We start from the raw sequence: 17,236 nt of genomic DNA, 5'->3' as shown, positions 1-17,236 counted from the left end.
AAATATATTTCTTTGACATATTTTGAAATAGACTTGCAAAGTTGTCTCTTGTGGGGAAAATTTGCATCCTGTAGAGAGTCTCCTTCCCTTTCCAGGTCTTTTCCAGATTCAGGAGACATTTAACTAAGACTTTGACACCTTTTAATGCCCTGAAAGAGACATTTATGATCTATTGTCTCTGAAGCTTGCTACTTAGAGGCTTCATTTACATAACAAGAACATTGGCTTCCATAACCCTCCTTATCTTAATTCAAGCATTTCTTTCTGCTGATTCAACTCTTTAGGCAAAGCTTAATTCTTTTTTTTTTTTTTTTTGAGAAGGAGTGCTCTGTTGCCCAAGCTGGAGTGCAGTGGCATGATCTTGGCTGACTCTAAACTCTGACCCCTGGGTTCAAGCGATTCTCTTGCCTCAGCCTCCCAAGTAGCTGAGATTACAGGTGCCCACCCCCTTGCCTGGCTAATTTTTTGTAATTTCTTTTTTTTAGTAGAGATAGGGTTTCACCATGTTGGCCAGACTGGTCTTGAACTCCTAACCTCAGGTGATCCGCCCGTCTCAGCCTCCCAAAGTGCTGGGATTACAGGCATGAGCCATCGCACCTGGCCTAAGCTTAATCCTTTCAACCAATTGCTAATGAGAAAATTTTTGAATCCATTTATGACCTGTAAGTCCCTGGTTTTGAGATGTCCTGCCTTTCTGGGCCAAACCAATATATACCTTACATGTATTAACGTATGCCTTGGCTTGTAATCTCTGTCTCCCTAAAATGTATAAAACCAAGTTTAACCAGATTGACTTGGGCATATGTTCTCAAGACAGCTTTAGACTCTATTCCAGGCCATGGTCACTCATATTTGGCTCAGACTAAGCCTCTTTCAATATTTTACAGAGTTCGGCTTTTTTCATTAACAGAGCATACTGTCCTCCATTTCTTTCTCCTTTCTCTTGATAAGACATTGGGGTTTTTAACACAGGTCTATGAACTTGAAACCATTAAATTCCATATTTGTAAAACTATTATCTTAGGAACACAATTTTAAGAGTTTCTATGTTTCTGTTCCTAATCTTCATAGTATATTAAGACAATTATTTTTGTCTCTCCAACTGGATTGGAAGACCCCTGTGGGCAGCAACTCATATTCATTAAACAAAAATATCTCAGTAATGTGGATAACAATAAAAACCCAATTCCTGTCTCAGAGAATTATGATTCAGTGTTTATTATTTAAAAGAACTTGCATAAAGTGTGCTGTGGCCAGGAATGTATTAGTTGATAAGAAAGAGAAAGATTATTATACCAGAGGAAAAAAGAAAATAATCTGTGTAAAGTTACAAGAACAAATGAATTATGTACTTCATGCAGGTAATAATTCCTCAGGAATAAATGGGTGTGTGTGTGTGTGTGTGTGTGTATGTGTATGTGTGCATGTGTGTTGGACATGGTGTTGTCTTTGATACGTCACATGAGTATCTATATAGTTTTGCTCCTCAACATGTGTAGCTTGGACCCCTTGCAGCAGTATCATCATTATCACTTGGAAGAATGTGAGAAATGCAGAAACTTTGGCCACATCCCAGAACTACTGAATCAGAATTCTCAATTTTTTTTACTGTAACTATTTTTATTACATTGTAATAATTAGGAGCTATACAGTTCATGACAAAAATATTACAAATTTCAGATCACAGCACATACTCCTATAAACATTTAAAAGTTAATTTCAATTAAAAGAGTGGTAATTTTTAATGTTTGATATGACCAGCATTCCTAGGTCAGCGCAACCAAATGATGGAAAACAACTGGATCACACTGCATATGTCCCACAAAAGAAAGCACAATGTACAAAATGTGCATGTTTCAGTTTACACAAAATACATTCCAGGTAAATATGTTACATTAAGAAATAGTACTAGTAAGAAATTGGCACTCAAAGAAAAAATGCAAAAGTATTTTCAACGTGAAAACACAGGACAGTGGAATTGGAAACTTTCGGATAAAACATTGTAACCCAGTTAGCTCTATTTGCTGGGTGGGGATGAGCCCTCAACATTTCTGCAGATAACTTTTTTCCCCCTAAATTCATCTAAATTACCTATCATTATCCCAAACAGGCACTTCAAACTATTAAACTAAAACACAAATCTTAGTCTAGTTATGACTATTCTTCAAGAACTCATGTGAGTATCTTTAGAAAGAAATTTTCATTTTTGACAGACAGCTATCAGTAGTATGCTGTTCAATTGCTCAACGCAGAATTCATGCTATCCAGTATTAACACAGAAGTTATTAAATATAAATTCAGCCTTAAAGTAACTGCTTTGTTCTAAAAAAAATTACTACATAATTATCAAGATATCATGACTTTTTAACAAATGGAAATCTTCAGATAGTTTTTGTGTCTAAAGAAATATCCCCTAAATGTATATACACTGAAGAAATAATGGTTGGATTAAAAAAAAAATCACTGGAATACAAATGAGATGAACTTGTGCAAACTGTAACTTAACATGCCCCACAAAGTTTCCATATATATATTAGGACAAAATTATGCAATGGTGGCAACAGTTTTGATAACCTATAAAAGTTAGGTTCTAAATTCCTAGGCAGTGTGACTCAGTTAAAATAGAGCCTAGAATGCCTAAGTGGAAATATTCACTCAAATCATACAATATATGTCTGCTCTATTCTTCCACAAACATGTTAATGCCTAAGACTATGTAATTTAGCACTTTTTGGAAAAACTTCAACAAGGATTTTTATCTTTAAGGCTGTAATAATTAGATAACATTTCTTTCTAGAATTCTCCCACTTTAAAAATCGCTACAATAACAAACCTTTTGTTAAACCATTCAAAGTTCACATAATAAAAGGTAATTATCATTACCTTAAAAAATGTCCATCTACATAAAAAATTCAAGAGGCCTAAATATCCCCTCATAAGCTCTGCAGTTCCTGAAGTATAACCATTTCTTTCTCTGTGTAGAAACAAGAGGTACTGTATAACACCCTACCTAAACAATGTTCCACAGATCTGTAGTTTAGCATAGTATTTCAGAAATCATACTGATTTTTACATAGAAGTTTCATTGTCTATGAACTAGTTCAGGCGCCTGTTTATTTGCATCCAGATAAAACTATTTTAGAAGTAAATATTTAATTTTTAAGTCTATTTTAATTACTTATGCAGAGAAAACTGGAATACTACACATTTGGGAATTTTGTGAGTATCTGACATATACCTTAATGGGTACAGTAATTGGCCCAACAGAATCATATAGTTATGCCAAATAAAACACAATATAATCAAGTTTATTCCTTTAAAATAATGAAGTGATTTACATAAAGTAGCTAGATCAAAGAGTTGCACTGGAATCACAGCAAAACAATTATAGAACTGGAAGAAACCTTAGAGACCAAACCCCTTCTTTGCAAAACTAAAATACACGTTGTGTTATCTCTGGGTCATATGCCGAAGGCCTTACTAAGATATTACAGACCATGCTAGCACTACCTAAGGACTGGGATTATGCCTCTTGTTTGGGGATACCATATACCCAGTGCCTTAGGCAGTGACTGGCATCTGGTAGGCACTCAGTATATATTTACTGAGTAAATGAGTTCTGCAAAACAGTAAGCTTTATGGGGCCGAGGCGGGCGAATCACTTGAGGTCAGGAATTTGAGACCAGCCTGGCCAATAGGGTGAAACCCTGTCTCTACTAAAAATACAAAAATTAGCTGAGCATGGTGGCACACGCCTGTAATCCCAGCTACTCGGGAGGCTGAGGCATGAGAATCGCTTGAACCTGGGAGATGGAGGTTACAGTGAGACAGTAAGACAAGATGGCGCCACTGCATTCCAGCCTGGGTGACAGAGTGAGACTCTGACCCCGCCTAAAAACAAACAAACAAACAAAACCAGTAAGCTTTATGAATTAAAGTATTTTTCATTGTAAGAAGATTTCTGGTTATTAAAACATTGGAATGTATTACTGTTACCAGGGGTAGTCCTAATTGTAGATTACCTAAGAAATTCTTTCAGCAGTATCGTTATTAAAATCTCCTTCCACTGGATAGGGTTCTGTCTGTTCATACCAGGTTTGAAAATTCCTACTATCACTAATGAATTGGGCAGCAAAGAGGTGTTCAAAGAATCAGCCACCACCTGAAAATTAGCTATTAGGTCAAATCCCATTATGATATCTGTCAGATTCTTTTGAGACCTGAGGAAATAAGATGTAAGGGATTTTGATGTGACTTAATGGGAAACCTTCATGGAGATATCCACAGCAGCAGTAAATCTTATGGTTAGGGGAATTAGAAGTATTAAAATTACATCAAATCATGGGGCATGTGGAAGGCAGGCAGGCAAGATGACACTAATACAGAAGGAGAGTCCTAAAACGAGAATGGATATTCAAATATAAACTTTACCTCTTGCACAATTTTGCCCAAGATTGTCACTGTCACTGAAGATGGTAACATAGGTTAAAAAGTTACAGATTGTGCTGAGCTTGACAAATAAGTGTATCCTATGTAAACGGAATATAAATTATATAGTTGTAAAAAAGCAATGAGTTTGAGATGACTTCTTTTAACATGAAGAAATGGATAGTAAGTGATTTCCTCAAAATCAGAGTCCTAAAAGACACATATCTAGAACCTAAGTCACCTTCCTTCTAGTCCAGTGATATTTTCACCTCACCACACCATCTCACTTCATATATTTTAAAATAAGTAACATTTTAAGTGTATTAATAGGATTATTTTATTAATATTTATTTTTAAAGCATTAATCTTAAATATGCATCAGACTTGAAAAGTGTTTATGAAATGTTAATTTAACCCGTGTTAAGAGAACTAGCCAAACCTAGAGATTTTAAAGCTTTTTCACTTCATTGTTTAAAAAAATTAATGTCTTTGCACACCACCACCCCAAAATCTCAACTTTTGAGTTAATATTTAAAAGTAATTTTTAAAAAAGATTTTGTTTTCTTAAAAACAAAAGCGATGCTCTTGATTTGTCAGCAGGACTGCCACAGAGTGAGAATGTATTTGTTGAGCTTTCCAAACTGTCCTAATCCCTCCCCATTTTGACCAACCAATGCATGACAACGCTGGATGACCATGGGGACACAGTCCATGCTGTGAAACTCTCTATGAAAGCTCAAAGGTTCACACAGGGCCTGGCCTTGCAAACTTGGTCTCTTCAACACTTACTAAGCTATGACTGGCCCAAATAATCTTTAATAACACAAGCAGAATTAAAACTATCTTCAAAGACTGAAGTTGAATAAAAGATTTAAAGTTATACTACGAAAGAGAAATCTGACACAGGGAGACTACATTTAATTCCTGTGAGAATGTTTTATACCTGTTAAAATTCTTTCAATTATTATAAAAATTTAGTACCATGTAAATATAGCCCGAAAATGGTTGCTATAATTCCCATTTCATACTGGGTCTCCCTTAACCGAAAAAACTATTAGGAGTTCTTATAATAATTTATCTAATGTGAAAAGGAAATGGCCTTATAATAGTTTCCATTGCCTTGTAATTTTTTTCCATTTTTTTATAGAAAAAATATAATATTTTTGAGAGAGTGACCGTGACTAGTAGCAGTGGAAAGTGGGGCAAAACCTTTGTGAACAGTGTAACTTTACATTCACCGGGGATGACAAACTACAGGACATGATGCCTAGAAGAAGAATCATCAGAAATCCCATAAATTTGTGTTCCCTCAATGTTTCAGTAAAACCAATTATAAAGCCTCAACTGAAATTATAATTAGTAATTAATCCATTTATGTGACTAGATAAAACACAGAATAGGGATGATTCACAAGCTTCATTAATTTGTTTCTCACCGATGTTCACAACTGGTAAGAAAAATAAGAAGTAATCAACTGCATGCACCAAAAACCCCAAGACAGAAATCAAAGGTATTCAGTTTCTTTTTCACAGGCATTGCTAGTTTGAAAACCAAAACTCTGGTAATACTGGCACTTAGGGGAAAAAAGTTTGCACTGTCATTTTAAAATAAGCATTTAAGGTAAAAGCTAACAGTTTGCATGGAGCAGGAAAAAAATTAGGTAATGCTAAAACAATGCTAATAGTTTAGTGTAATGTATAAAAATTACCAGTTTTACTTAAGTATGCCTTAAGAAAAAAGTACTAATTGTATTTACATAATTACACACTTTGTCATTGACTTTTCTTCTTCTTACCATCTTTGCTCATCTTTTATTTCTCAAACTAATGTATAGAAGGCATCATTAACACCCTGTCTTTGCTGGTTTCAATAAAGGGAATTCCCTAACTCCTTGCTAAGTCCTGAGCCTTTTGTGTCTACTGTTCTAGAAGGCAAATCACATTTATTTCCTACTAGGACCATAGGCACATCTTCAGAGTCCTTAAATCTTTTAATTTGTTTTCTATAATTGTGCATATCTTCAAATGATTTAATATTATTTATGGCAAATACACAAAGAAAGCCCCCCCCCCCCCCCCGCCCAGTCCTCATGTACTGGTCCTCATTGCATTGTACTCTTCTTGACCTGTTGTGTCAAGAATATCCAAGAGACAGGTTTCTCCATCAATTACTACTTGCTTCCTGTAGGAATTCTCTATTGTTGGATCATATTGGTCCACAAAATGATTCTGAATTAGCTGTATCGTCAAGACACTTTTGCTTACGCCACCAGCTCCAACTACCGCAAGTTTATATTCAGTCATTTTCAGCAGGTCTGGGAGCCGCTGAGCCTCTGGCCCTGCCGCCGCCTTCAGTGCCTGCGCCACGGAGCTCCCAGTCCGAAATGGCGGAGGCCGGGAGTACTGGCCCAGCTTCATCTAAACCAGTATTTGTCTTATATACTTTACGTGAATATGCTTATTCTCAAGGTAAGGCAGTCAAAGCTCATTCCATTCCTTAGGAATTTATGATGCAGGATAATGTCAAACACTAAAGATTCATTTTATTTCAAAGAACCAGCAAATTTCAGTAGATCTTAATGTTACACAATGCACTAAATAGTAGACCATGCTTCTCCCTGGAGTCATTGTTTTCTAAATTGCAATGTAGTACCTAAAAAGCATTGCAAATAAGAATGACATTGTGAATCTTATTGAAAGTTTTAGGTCAGTTTTGTCATAATGCATTCTTCATCATCTGTCAGGTTGTTGGCATGTGAAAGGTCTCCAGAGGAAAAAGAATATGCTGCTAGAAATAGTCTCCAGTTTTCTCTTCAAATAACAACTTGGGTCAAAATCATCCTTACTAGGTCACTGTTAAACAATATTTCTGATATGTTTGACATGTTACTGTGCATTACATCAAATCAAATTTTGATCATGCTTTATAAAATTCCTGACATGTCTAATGCTATTGTATTCTCGTAGTGAGTATTTAAATGTGGCAATAAATAATGTCCCGGACCTATTTCTAATAATTTTAGTTTGCTTTAAATCTTTATCTGCTAAAATTTTTTCTCTAGATCTTGAAATTACTCCACAATTTACTAGTGACTATGATAAGTCACTTAAATACCTCATCTTTTTTATTTATTTATTTATTATGTTTTTTGAGATGGAGTCTCACTCTGTCGCCCAGGCTGGAGTGCAGTGGCGCGATCTCGGCTCATGGCAACATTCGCCTCCCAGGTTCAAGCAATTCTCCTGCCTTAGCCTTCCAAGTAGCTGGGATTACAGGAGCCCCCTGCCACGTCCGGCTAATTTTTGTATTTTTAGTAGAGGCAGGGTTTCACCATGTTGGCCAGGCTGGTCTCAACTCCTGATCTCAAATGTTCCACCCACCGTGGCCTCCCAAAGTGCTGGGATTACAGGCATGAGCCACCATGCCCGGCCAACAGCTTCCTCATCTTTAAAATGAGATACAGTAGTACCTGTATTATAGGGTTATTATGAGGATTAATTTAGTAAGTGTAAGGGTTTATGACAGTATTATTGTTGAAATATGAGGTCAAAATAAATTTGTTTCCCTGAGTAGGATGAAATGCTCCTTTAAGAGGAATCATTTAAATTTCTTACATACTTTTATTTGCACATTGCAGCAAAATACGTGCATGTTAAACTACCAGCATAACTTAATTCATGAACGCATGTATATACCTGAGGATCTTCATGGCCCCAGGAACACATTAAACTTTTCTGATACAATTTTTCTTTACTTAGAGTTTGTTTTCTTCTTCACATATTGCTTTTCATTTGTTTACATTGTACTTTCATCTATATAATATGCATTAAAAATGTAAAGATGTTTGCTTTTTCAAGTAGTCAAGTTCAACAAAGTTTTTATCATATGAAAAATTAATAGGTAAGCACTCAAACATTGATGAATAAAGATACTAAACAACAGTAGCTATAGGCAGATCACCCACCCACTACCCTCTGTTTCCAAACAGAAATAATCAACCCTTCCTCTAATTTCATGTTCTTTCTCTCAGTGGTGGAGTGTTCTAGATTGTATCAGTCTAGCTTGTTATTTTGATTTCCATCTGGAACTGGATCAGTCCTTACTCAAGCCCAGATAGATGACATCATAGAAATAAATTGTATTAGTCTGACATAATTGTTCTCTATGCAATCTTCACATTTATGGGGGAAAAGGTTAGTTTTCATTAGTGTACTAATCCAAGGCTTGCTCTCTTCCTCTATTGTAAAAAGCAGTAAATTGATACACTGTTAGTGATAGCTGTCATATGACTTACTGTAAATTATATAGCTCTTAAACTGCCCTCATTTTCTCTTTGGAGAGGCCTTATTAAATGAAAGCACCATGCTGCCGCAACTACAGTGAGGTTTCAAAAAGCCAAATCTCATCACATTGCTTGTATCCTTTAAATCCTTTGATGTTTTTCTGCTCCTTTAAGGCAAATACACAGACTTCCCTGATCTAGCATGTGCCTGCCTACCCAGCCTCATCCCATCTACCCCTGCCATTCATTCTAAACTCCATCTGGGTCAGGTGCTTAAATATTCTGGAATATGTCACATTCTTTGTGCATATTCCTGGTATCTCTTTTTACCCCCCTTGTCTTCCTGTAAATAACATAAATACCACTTTGCTAACCCTCCTAAATAAGAAAACTTTATTGATCTTTCTGGTCACAGAGCATAATTTTATTGTAGTATTTTTGTCATTGTTTACTTCATGTCTCTTTCTGCCACTGTTGTTTGGCTCCTAAAGATGGGGCTTAAGATCTTTGTCAGAGTTATTCAAATTGGCAAGTTATTTTTCTCTGTAGATTACTTCAAAGAAAAATAAGCATTTAAAAAATTTTAAAAGAAAATAAAGGCACTTGTGATTTTTTATATTTTTAATAAGACAAGGATAATAATGGGAAAATTTGAGAAAACATTAAGGTAAATTAAAATTGCTTGTAAGGTTAGTTGGGTAAATAACATTTATTGAGCACCTTCAATGTCTCAGGCATTTTACTGGATTCTTTTTATTTGTTAACTAATACAAGAGTTGTAAAGAACCTAGAAAATAATGCTCAAAGCTTGACTGTAAGATAAAAGAAAAAAACAGTTCTAGCTATTGATATCTCAAATGGGAAAATTTGTAACCATGTCATCTTTATATGCACCAGATATTCAAATAAACATAGAAAGAAACAGACTAACACGTAACTCCAGTTGATTAGTTTCCAGGACATAGGCCTAACAGTGGAGGACGGTTTATTGATTTGGTTAGAGAAACAGTAGCAATTACCTCAGTGTATATAAATTACGGGTTCCTAGATTATAATAAATTAACATGTATTGTGGTTGGGCTATTATTGAACAAATTTAGTTCAAATTAATTACATTTTTACTCCTTTTTATAAGATAGCATTATGGATCATGTGCTAAAAATCAGTAATCAGTTTTGGGTTTTATATCTTTTTGTATGAACATAAGGAAGATATAAACAGTAAATTCTTGAGTACAGTACAGATATTCTTGTCTTACAATGGGGTTATGTCTTGATAAACCCATTGGAAGTTAAAAAATATTTTAGTTGAGGAGAGGCCAAGATAGCAAATTAGAAGCAACTGCAGTCCACGGCACTCACAGAGAGGAATGAGAGGAGGTGGAACTATGTATTTAACATTTTATACATATGGACAGTATATGTGTGCATATGTACAAATATACATTTGTAGACAATATGTACAAAAGCCATGTGACAAGTTCAGGAAATTTAAAGAGAGCTGGTATGGCTAGAGTGCAGAGAGAAGGGATAGAATATTGCAAAATGAGGCCGGACATGGTGGCTCAGGCCTGTAATCGCAGCACTTTGGGAAGCCAAGGCGGGCAGATCATGAGGTCAGGAGTTTGAAACCAGCCTGATAAACATGGTGAAACCCCGTCTCTACTAAAAATGAAAAAATTAACTGGGCATGGTGGATTGCGTCTGTAATCCCAGCTCCTCAGGAGGCTGGGGCAGGAGAATTGCTTAAACCTGGGAGGTGGAGGTTCCAGTGATCCGAGATCGTGCCACTGGACTCCAGCCTGGGTGACAGACTGAGACTCCGTCTAAAAAAACAAAAAAACAAAAAAAATTGCAAGATGAGGTTGGAGAATTAGGACCTTGTATGCCAAGTCAATTTTTTTTTAATCCTAGAAGCAATGAGAGATTTCTGAAGAGTTTCAGTGAAGATGACATCATATTTGTCTTTTTAAAGATCACTCTGATTGTAGTATGTACACTGGGTTGGGGGAAGGCAGAGTGAATGAGAAAAAAATAGTTCAATGGCTACTACAATGGTCCAGGTAAGACTTGGCTGTGTTTTGGACTTTGATGGCAGTGAAAATTTTAAAAATAATAATGGGTGGATTAAAGAGATGCTTAAGGAGAAAAATAATAGGTCTTGGTTATGGGATGGTTATGAGTTTTGTGAAAAAGAGATACTTGAAGATGCTTAGTTATCATAGATGTAACTCCGTGGATCCTGGTGCCACTTAATGAGATGATAAATGCTGGAAATTAATAAATAATTTTCATAAATTAATGAATAATAGGTATATAAACATGTAAGCTTTATCTGATATACACATAACCTTATGTCGTAACTCTTTCAGACTTCAGTTCATGACCAAGACCAGGTCAGACCTGGCTGGAAAAGTGCATACCATGGATTTACCTTTGGGCACATTGAATTTGATGTGATTTTGATAGTGAAAATGTAGACTAGGTGATTTTTCTAGATTATAGTGGTAGTCAATAGTGCTACTATGCCTTATGCTTGTTTCTTATTGCCTGGGAGAAAGAGTATAGGGAAGTAGTAATAAAGAAAGGAGTATGATTAAAGGTTGAAGGACCAAGATATTTTATGGCTGAAATAGAGAATAAATTTGCACAGGAGATGCAAGAAGTAGACAATTTTCACTGTGCCAAATGCAGTAGATTGGTCAGATAAGATTAAGATAAAGGTAACTGCTATCAAAAATATATAATACATCACAGATAGAGCTCAACTATCTATTAAAAGAGGACAAATTTTTGGATAATGGGTATAATCTCTACCCCCATCAAGAAAAGCCCGATTCTTGGAATTATAATCAGAATATAAATACTGGCTCTGCAAAGAAATTAAATGGGTCATAGAGACGTAACGGAATGTTAAACTCTTTCTTCATGCCTACAACCATCGTTAAAAGTAGGTACTGACTGTTGTTAGAAGGGCATACGATTAGTGAATTCAAGTAACAGGCAATATTTGGGAATGATGTAAATAGTTATTATCTTTGGATATATACTTATAGTGCCATGCATTAATAAGTGTCTGAAAATACAGATATAAGAGTCAGCTCTTAAAAATAAAATGAGCAGAGAAGACCTGAGTTGGGTAGTGGTGGAAAAGCCCACCAGCCAATGGGCTGGTGTTGAGATAAGGACCTCATTTTGGTGTTCAAGCTGTTGAGTACTCAATTATCCTTAAGATGCATTTCTCCCTTGATTTGAACAGCAACATTCTTACCCTATGTTCTTCTTAGTATTTGTTTCTCTTAAGCCTCAGAAATTTCTACCACTCTCTGTCAGATATTCCCATCAATATTTTACAGACACTTAAAACTCAATATGTCTACCCCAAAACTATGTACATTTATTATGCATCCAAAAATAAGTGAATAAATTTTAAAAACTGTGGCTAAATGGTATGTGATACAATCAACTTGTTGAAATGTCTGGTGAGGGGATATCTGTGACAACCTTCCCGAAGCATTATGGTGAATGTTCTAAGTCTAATTTGTCTTCAGATGACTTTTAGGAGATATGAGTAACAGAAGAAGGTGAGGGAGAAGGAGGAGAAAAAGCAGAAGGACAGAGGAGAGCAGAATGAGAATTATATGAAATGGCACCATTAAATGCCTAATAAATAATGTAATAATATTGCTATTAAAGCCAAAAAAGCCTTCAATATGTCAAACTTAAACTAAACATACTGTTTTACTCTAAGTGGCACACACAATTTATTGAATTTATAAGGGAATACTATCCTCTCCATGAATGTCTGCCCCACCATTCTTAACTGGCACACATTACAGTTTGGCTCCACTAAACAAAAAAACCAGTCATAATTATGAAAACTGGTTTTGTACAAAAACCAGCATGAATGTAATGGGAGAATGGCTGTTTGAAATTTATTAAGAGAGTATGTGAATTCTGACCCTCTTCATTTTTTTCAGCTTGAAACTATAATCAACTTCCCTAACTTCTTGGTATCTCTCTTCCTCATTTGTGGTATCATTTTTTACTTTTTACTTCCTTGTATTACTGTGATCCTTTTTACTTTACACCTCCTTGTATTACTTCCATGATTTCTTACCAGCTACTATTCTCTATTCTTTTCCAAAACTTTGAATGCTCTTTTTGGTTGCAGACCCAGCCTATAGTATCTGTGGAGCCTGATAAGAAGCTTCTGTACCTGTGGGAAAGTAGCCTGTAGGTTTTCACAGGTCAAAGTGTTCAAGAGTATCAGGGCTTTTGATCTCTTATTATTGGACATATAAATGAAATTTTGCAGAAATTTTATTCTGGGTCACCAGATTTAAAGTATTATTCCATTGGCATTAACAAATCTGTAGATACCCTGTTTAAAGCCATGTTACTAAAAACAGAACTAGGATTTCACATGAACAAAATATTTCATATTCTTTATTTTCTCAAAGAAGTCTCTAAGAAGAACAAGCCCAGTAGCCTATTAAATAAGAAAAGCAATAGAGGTTTTATTGTCTTATAATGCATGGGTATTTTCTTACTATTTTACTGAATTTTTGTTGATCTAATAAATTCTCTTTTTGTTTTTGGAAAACTAAGATGAGATCATTGCTTTAATTCTGAATAATGAAAAGAAAACACAAGAGAAAGGGAAATAACTAGGATAAACCAGACAGACCTTAGATCCTGGGCAACCACACACTGGAGGAAGAGCTGTGTCCCTCTCAGGTGCATGTTTTGAAGCAAAGTGGAACAACAAAGATAGACCCTAATTTCTCCACAGCAACACTAGATTGGTACCAATGTACTTGTTTTTAGAAGCATGGACTAAAGGGAAACCCCTGTGTTCTTTCAGACAAAGACCTTCTTGTTCAGATCTCTTGGGCTTTTTGGTACTTTTATTAATTACAACAAAACTAACATGTTCCCTACCAATTCTGAAGCTCCAAGAAACTCTTGTAATTGTTGAGTAGAGGCAGACTAGACACATGGAATTCAAGTTAACTGTAGTCGATGGTAACAATTAGCACATCTTATGGATCAGTAGGCACTCCATTTGACCCCATAATGACTAGTGAAAAAGAATGACTACCAAGCTAGAAAACTGACTGTCATCTTACATATTTTCCTTTGCCTCAATAACTGCATCATTCCATTCTCATCCCAATCCAACCTAAACCATCCCCAATTAGTGGACACTACATCTATGATGTCGTCAAAATAGATTGGCTTTATATTGCAAGTGTAAGTTTGGTGTTCATTCTCTCCTTTTTATAGACACTGATACTTTTTAGGTTCTCATCATTTTTCACCTGAAATATCTTAAAGGCCTCATAAATCCCTATACACCTTATATTGTCCTTATATAATCCATTTGTCATACTGCTTTGTCAGATTGATCTTTCTAAACTATGAATTTGATCAGTCACTCCTCTTCTTAAAAACGTGCAGTAGTGGGGCAGAGCACAGGGGCTGATGCTTACATAAATAATTACATAATTCCAGCATTTGGGGAGGCTGAGGCTAGAGGATCACTTGAGCCCAGGAGTTCAAGACCAGCCTGAGCAACATGAGGAAACCCCGTTTCTACCAAAAAAAAAAAAAAAAAAAAAAAAGCCAGGCTTGGTATAGTCCCAGCTACTTGGGAGGCTGAGGTAGGAGGATTGCTTGATCCTGGGAAGTCAAGGCTGCAGTGAGCTGTGATCAAGACACAGCACTCCAGCCTGGGCAACAGAGCAAAACCATGTCTAAAACAGAAACAAATAAACAAACTTGTAATGGCTTCACAATGCTTACAAAATAAAATCTAAACTTCATTTCATGGCCTATTCTTTATGATGTTGCAAGCCATGTTCTCCGAGTCACCTTTTATTATGCTCTTTCTTCTTCTCACCCCATAAAAATTATTTTTAGTGAGCCAAATATATTATGTGATTTTATACAGTTAGAGCCTACCTGTTTCCTCTCTGTGATTATCTTTGCCTTTACCTCTTCTTTGCTAGTTTATCTGGCAAGTTTATGCTCATCATTTTAGATAAAACTCAAAATATTCTATTATCAGTGAAGCATATGAGACCCTCAAAGTTATCCATTTTCTCCTCTCTGCCACCATGGAAAATTGCCCATGTTATTAAATACGATAATTATTTAAACATGATTTCTATCTTTTAACCCAGAATTTGCTTAGGAAATCTGGACACAGAGCACAAGCAAATCTGGCACATAATCGGCACTTAATAAGCTATTCTGCCATCATTTCCGACTCAATAAATCCAAACCAGAATTCTTCAGCTTCCACCTAATGTTCTCCAATCTTCTGTTCCTGTCAAAGGTGTTATTTTTCTTGCCATTTAGGGTTAAAATATTATAATCTGCTCTGACTCAGCCTTCTCCTTAATTCAGCATTGTCCAACCAGGAAATATGCTCACTCTAGTAAAAGAACGCAGAGACTTCAAGGTTTTTCTCTCCAAGGAGAGTCTTCTCATGGTATCCCCAAGGATCTCTGAGTTGTACTTTCCCTTGCTTCAGTTACCAGAGGCAACAAAATTCTTACTACAGACAGGCACATACTATTTTCCTTTTAACACTGTGGCCTAATCATTAGCATATGTTCTCCCTCTGATTTCATGTAGGACAGGTAAAATAGATTAGAAACTTTAAAAGCTTTAACTAGCTGCTAACTTTTTTAAAAGGATAAACTTGGTAATTAGAAAACATATAAACATAGGAAGACTTTCACAGCACATATTTCTGATACTTCTCAACAAATTTGCTCCTTAGAGTTGTTGGTTTTGCCATATTTTTAAATTCAGTCTTGAAACAGCCATATCAGTATTCAAAGTACAGATAACTTGGTAGGCAACCTGTCTGAGTTACTTGCTTCCTGAGTTCCAGTCTGCCTCTATGTGGGCACCATCTTATCATCCAAGCTCTAAGAGCTGTTATTGGTAATTTTGACCAAGAAGACTTTTTCTACAGGGCTTTCAGGTCTTATTGCGCCCACTCCATTTCTTATCAGAGAGATCCCTTTCTTCCAGGTAATACAAATGGTAAGTGTACCATACATGAGGTCCCACTACTCTTCATACATCACTTCTCTCACATTCCATTGATCTAAACTTGTCACATGGTCTCACACTGTTACAAGAGATATAAGGTATCTAGTCTTCCTATGTGCTCAGGAGAGAGAGAGAGAAGAATTAAATGTGAGTGTGCACTAATAATTTCCCCAGTAGACTGCTTTGGTTTAGTAGGATTTAAAATAGAGCTTCAGAAACCAACTATTTTTCTAATTGTGTTTCTTGAGGAAAATGCACTTTAAGTCCCAAACAATTGACTTAAATTCTTATAACTCAGTCTTCTGGGGATAAGATGTTGAGGGTATTGGTTTGTTCAGTAAGATTGTGAGTCTTTTAAAGACAAGGACTTTTCTTGCACTCCCATTATATATTTAGAAAACTTTCAATTAAGCATGAGATGCTTAATTACTAATTCATTAAATAAATCAACAAAGTCTGATTAAATAACTTTCTGATCAGATCTGTATGTGAGAAGAATTTCCTGCTTTTTAAACATATTTTCTTTATAAAACTCTCTATTTGCAAATAATTACATAAAGATTTAGCAGTAAGGTAGTGATCCATTAAATTGCCAACCCATTGAATTACTATTCAATGGAATTAGATGTTTGATGGCCAGACACGGTGGTTCACGCCTGTAATCCCAGCACTTTGGGAGGCCAAGACAAGTGGATCACTTGACGTCAGGAGTTTGAGACCAGCCTGGCCAACATGGCGAAACCCTGTCTCTACCAAAAATACAAAAATTAGCCAGGAGTGGTGGTGGGTGCCTGCAATCTCAGATACTTGGGAGGCTGAGGCAAGAGAAACAATGAACGTGAATGCAAGAGGTGGAGGCTACAGTGAGCCGAGATCAGGCTACTGCACTCTAGCCTGGGTGACAGAAAAAGACCCCGTCTCAAAAAAAAAAAAAAAAAAGATGTTGTTTGAATACATTTGATTGATAGTGTGATTCTATTATTTTAATAATTTTTGTTACATATGTATGTCCAATAATTGAATCCTCCCATGAGCATGGTTTTAAATTCATGTTATTATGTTTAGATACCACTCAATCATGAATCAGTACAGAGCCAACCCTGCCATGTTGCAGCCAAAGACAAAAAGAGAAATCATTATTATTCATCATACCATTATTAACATTTAGATATTTTGATCATACTGGAATTTTTTTGCATTAATTTTGATTCTTTAAGATATTGCATTGAACATTTTTTTTTGATTACTGTGTTTTGGCACCTCCTTAAATTTTGCACCAGAAATGAAGATCTCTTTCCCTCCGCTCTAGTCCCAGCCTTATAGCCATGCCTAACTTCCAGAGTGTGGGGAAGCATTATTGTGCCTACTAGACTAGAGAAAGAAAAATGAGGAAAGTACTAATGACTAATATATCCAGTTAAAGTAATAAGTTATAATGCAGAATTGTTTGTTGAAG

At 35.8% G+C, this 17,236-nt stretch overlaps 1 long non-coding RNA gene and 1 pseudogene across 1 annotated transcript in view; one reads left to right on the top strand and one right to left on the bottom strand.

Annotated features, from left to right (window-relative positions):
- LOC107986606 (uncharacterized) overlaps positions 1-17,236 on the top strand; it is a 179,493-nt gene that overhangs the window by 24,518 nt on the left and 137,739 nt on the right. The gene's annotated exons all lie outside the window — the stretch shown is intronic.
- KRASP1 (KRAS proto-oncogene, GTPase pseudogene 1) lies at positions 1,608-6,840 on the bottom strand (annotated as a pseudogene).

This window comes from Homo sapiens, chromosome 6, assembly GCF_000001405.40.
Source record: "Homo sapiens chromosome 6, GRCh38.p14 Primary Assembly".
NCBI classification, from domain to species: domain Eukaryota; kingdom Metazoa; phylum Chordata; class Mammalia; order Primates; family Hominidae; genus Homo; species Homo sapiens.
This window is presented reverse-complemented; position numbering and strand designations above follow the sequence as displayed.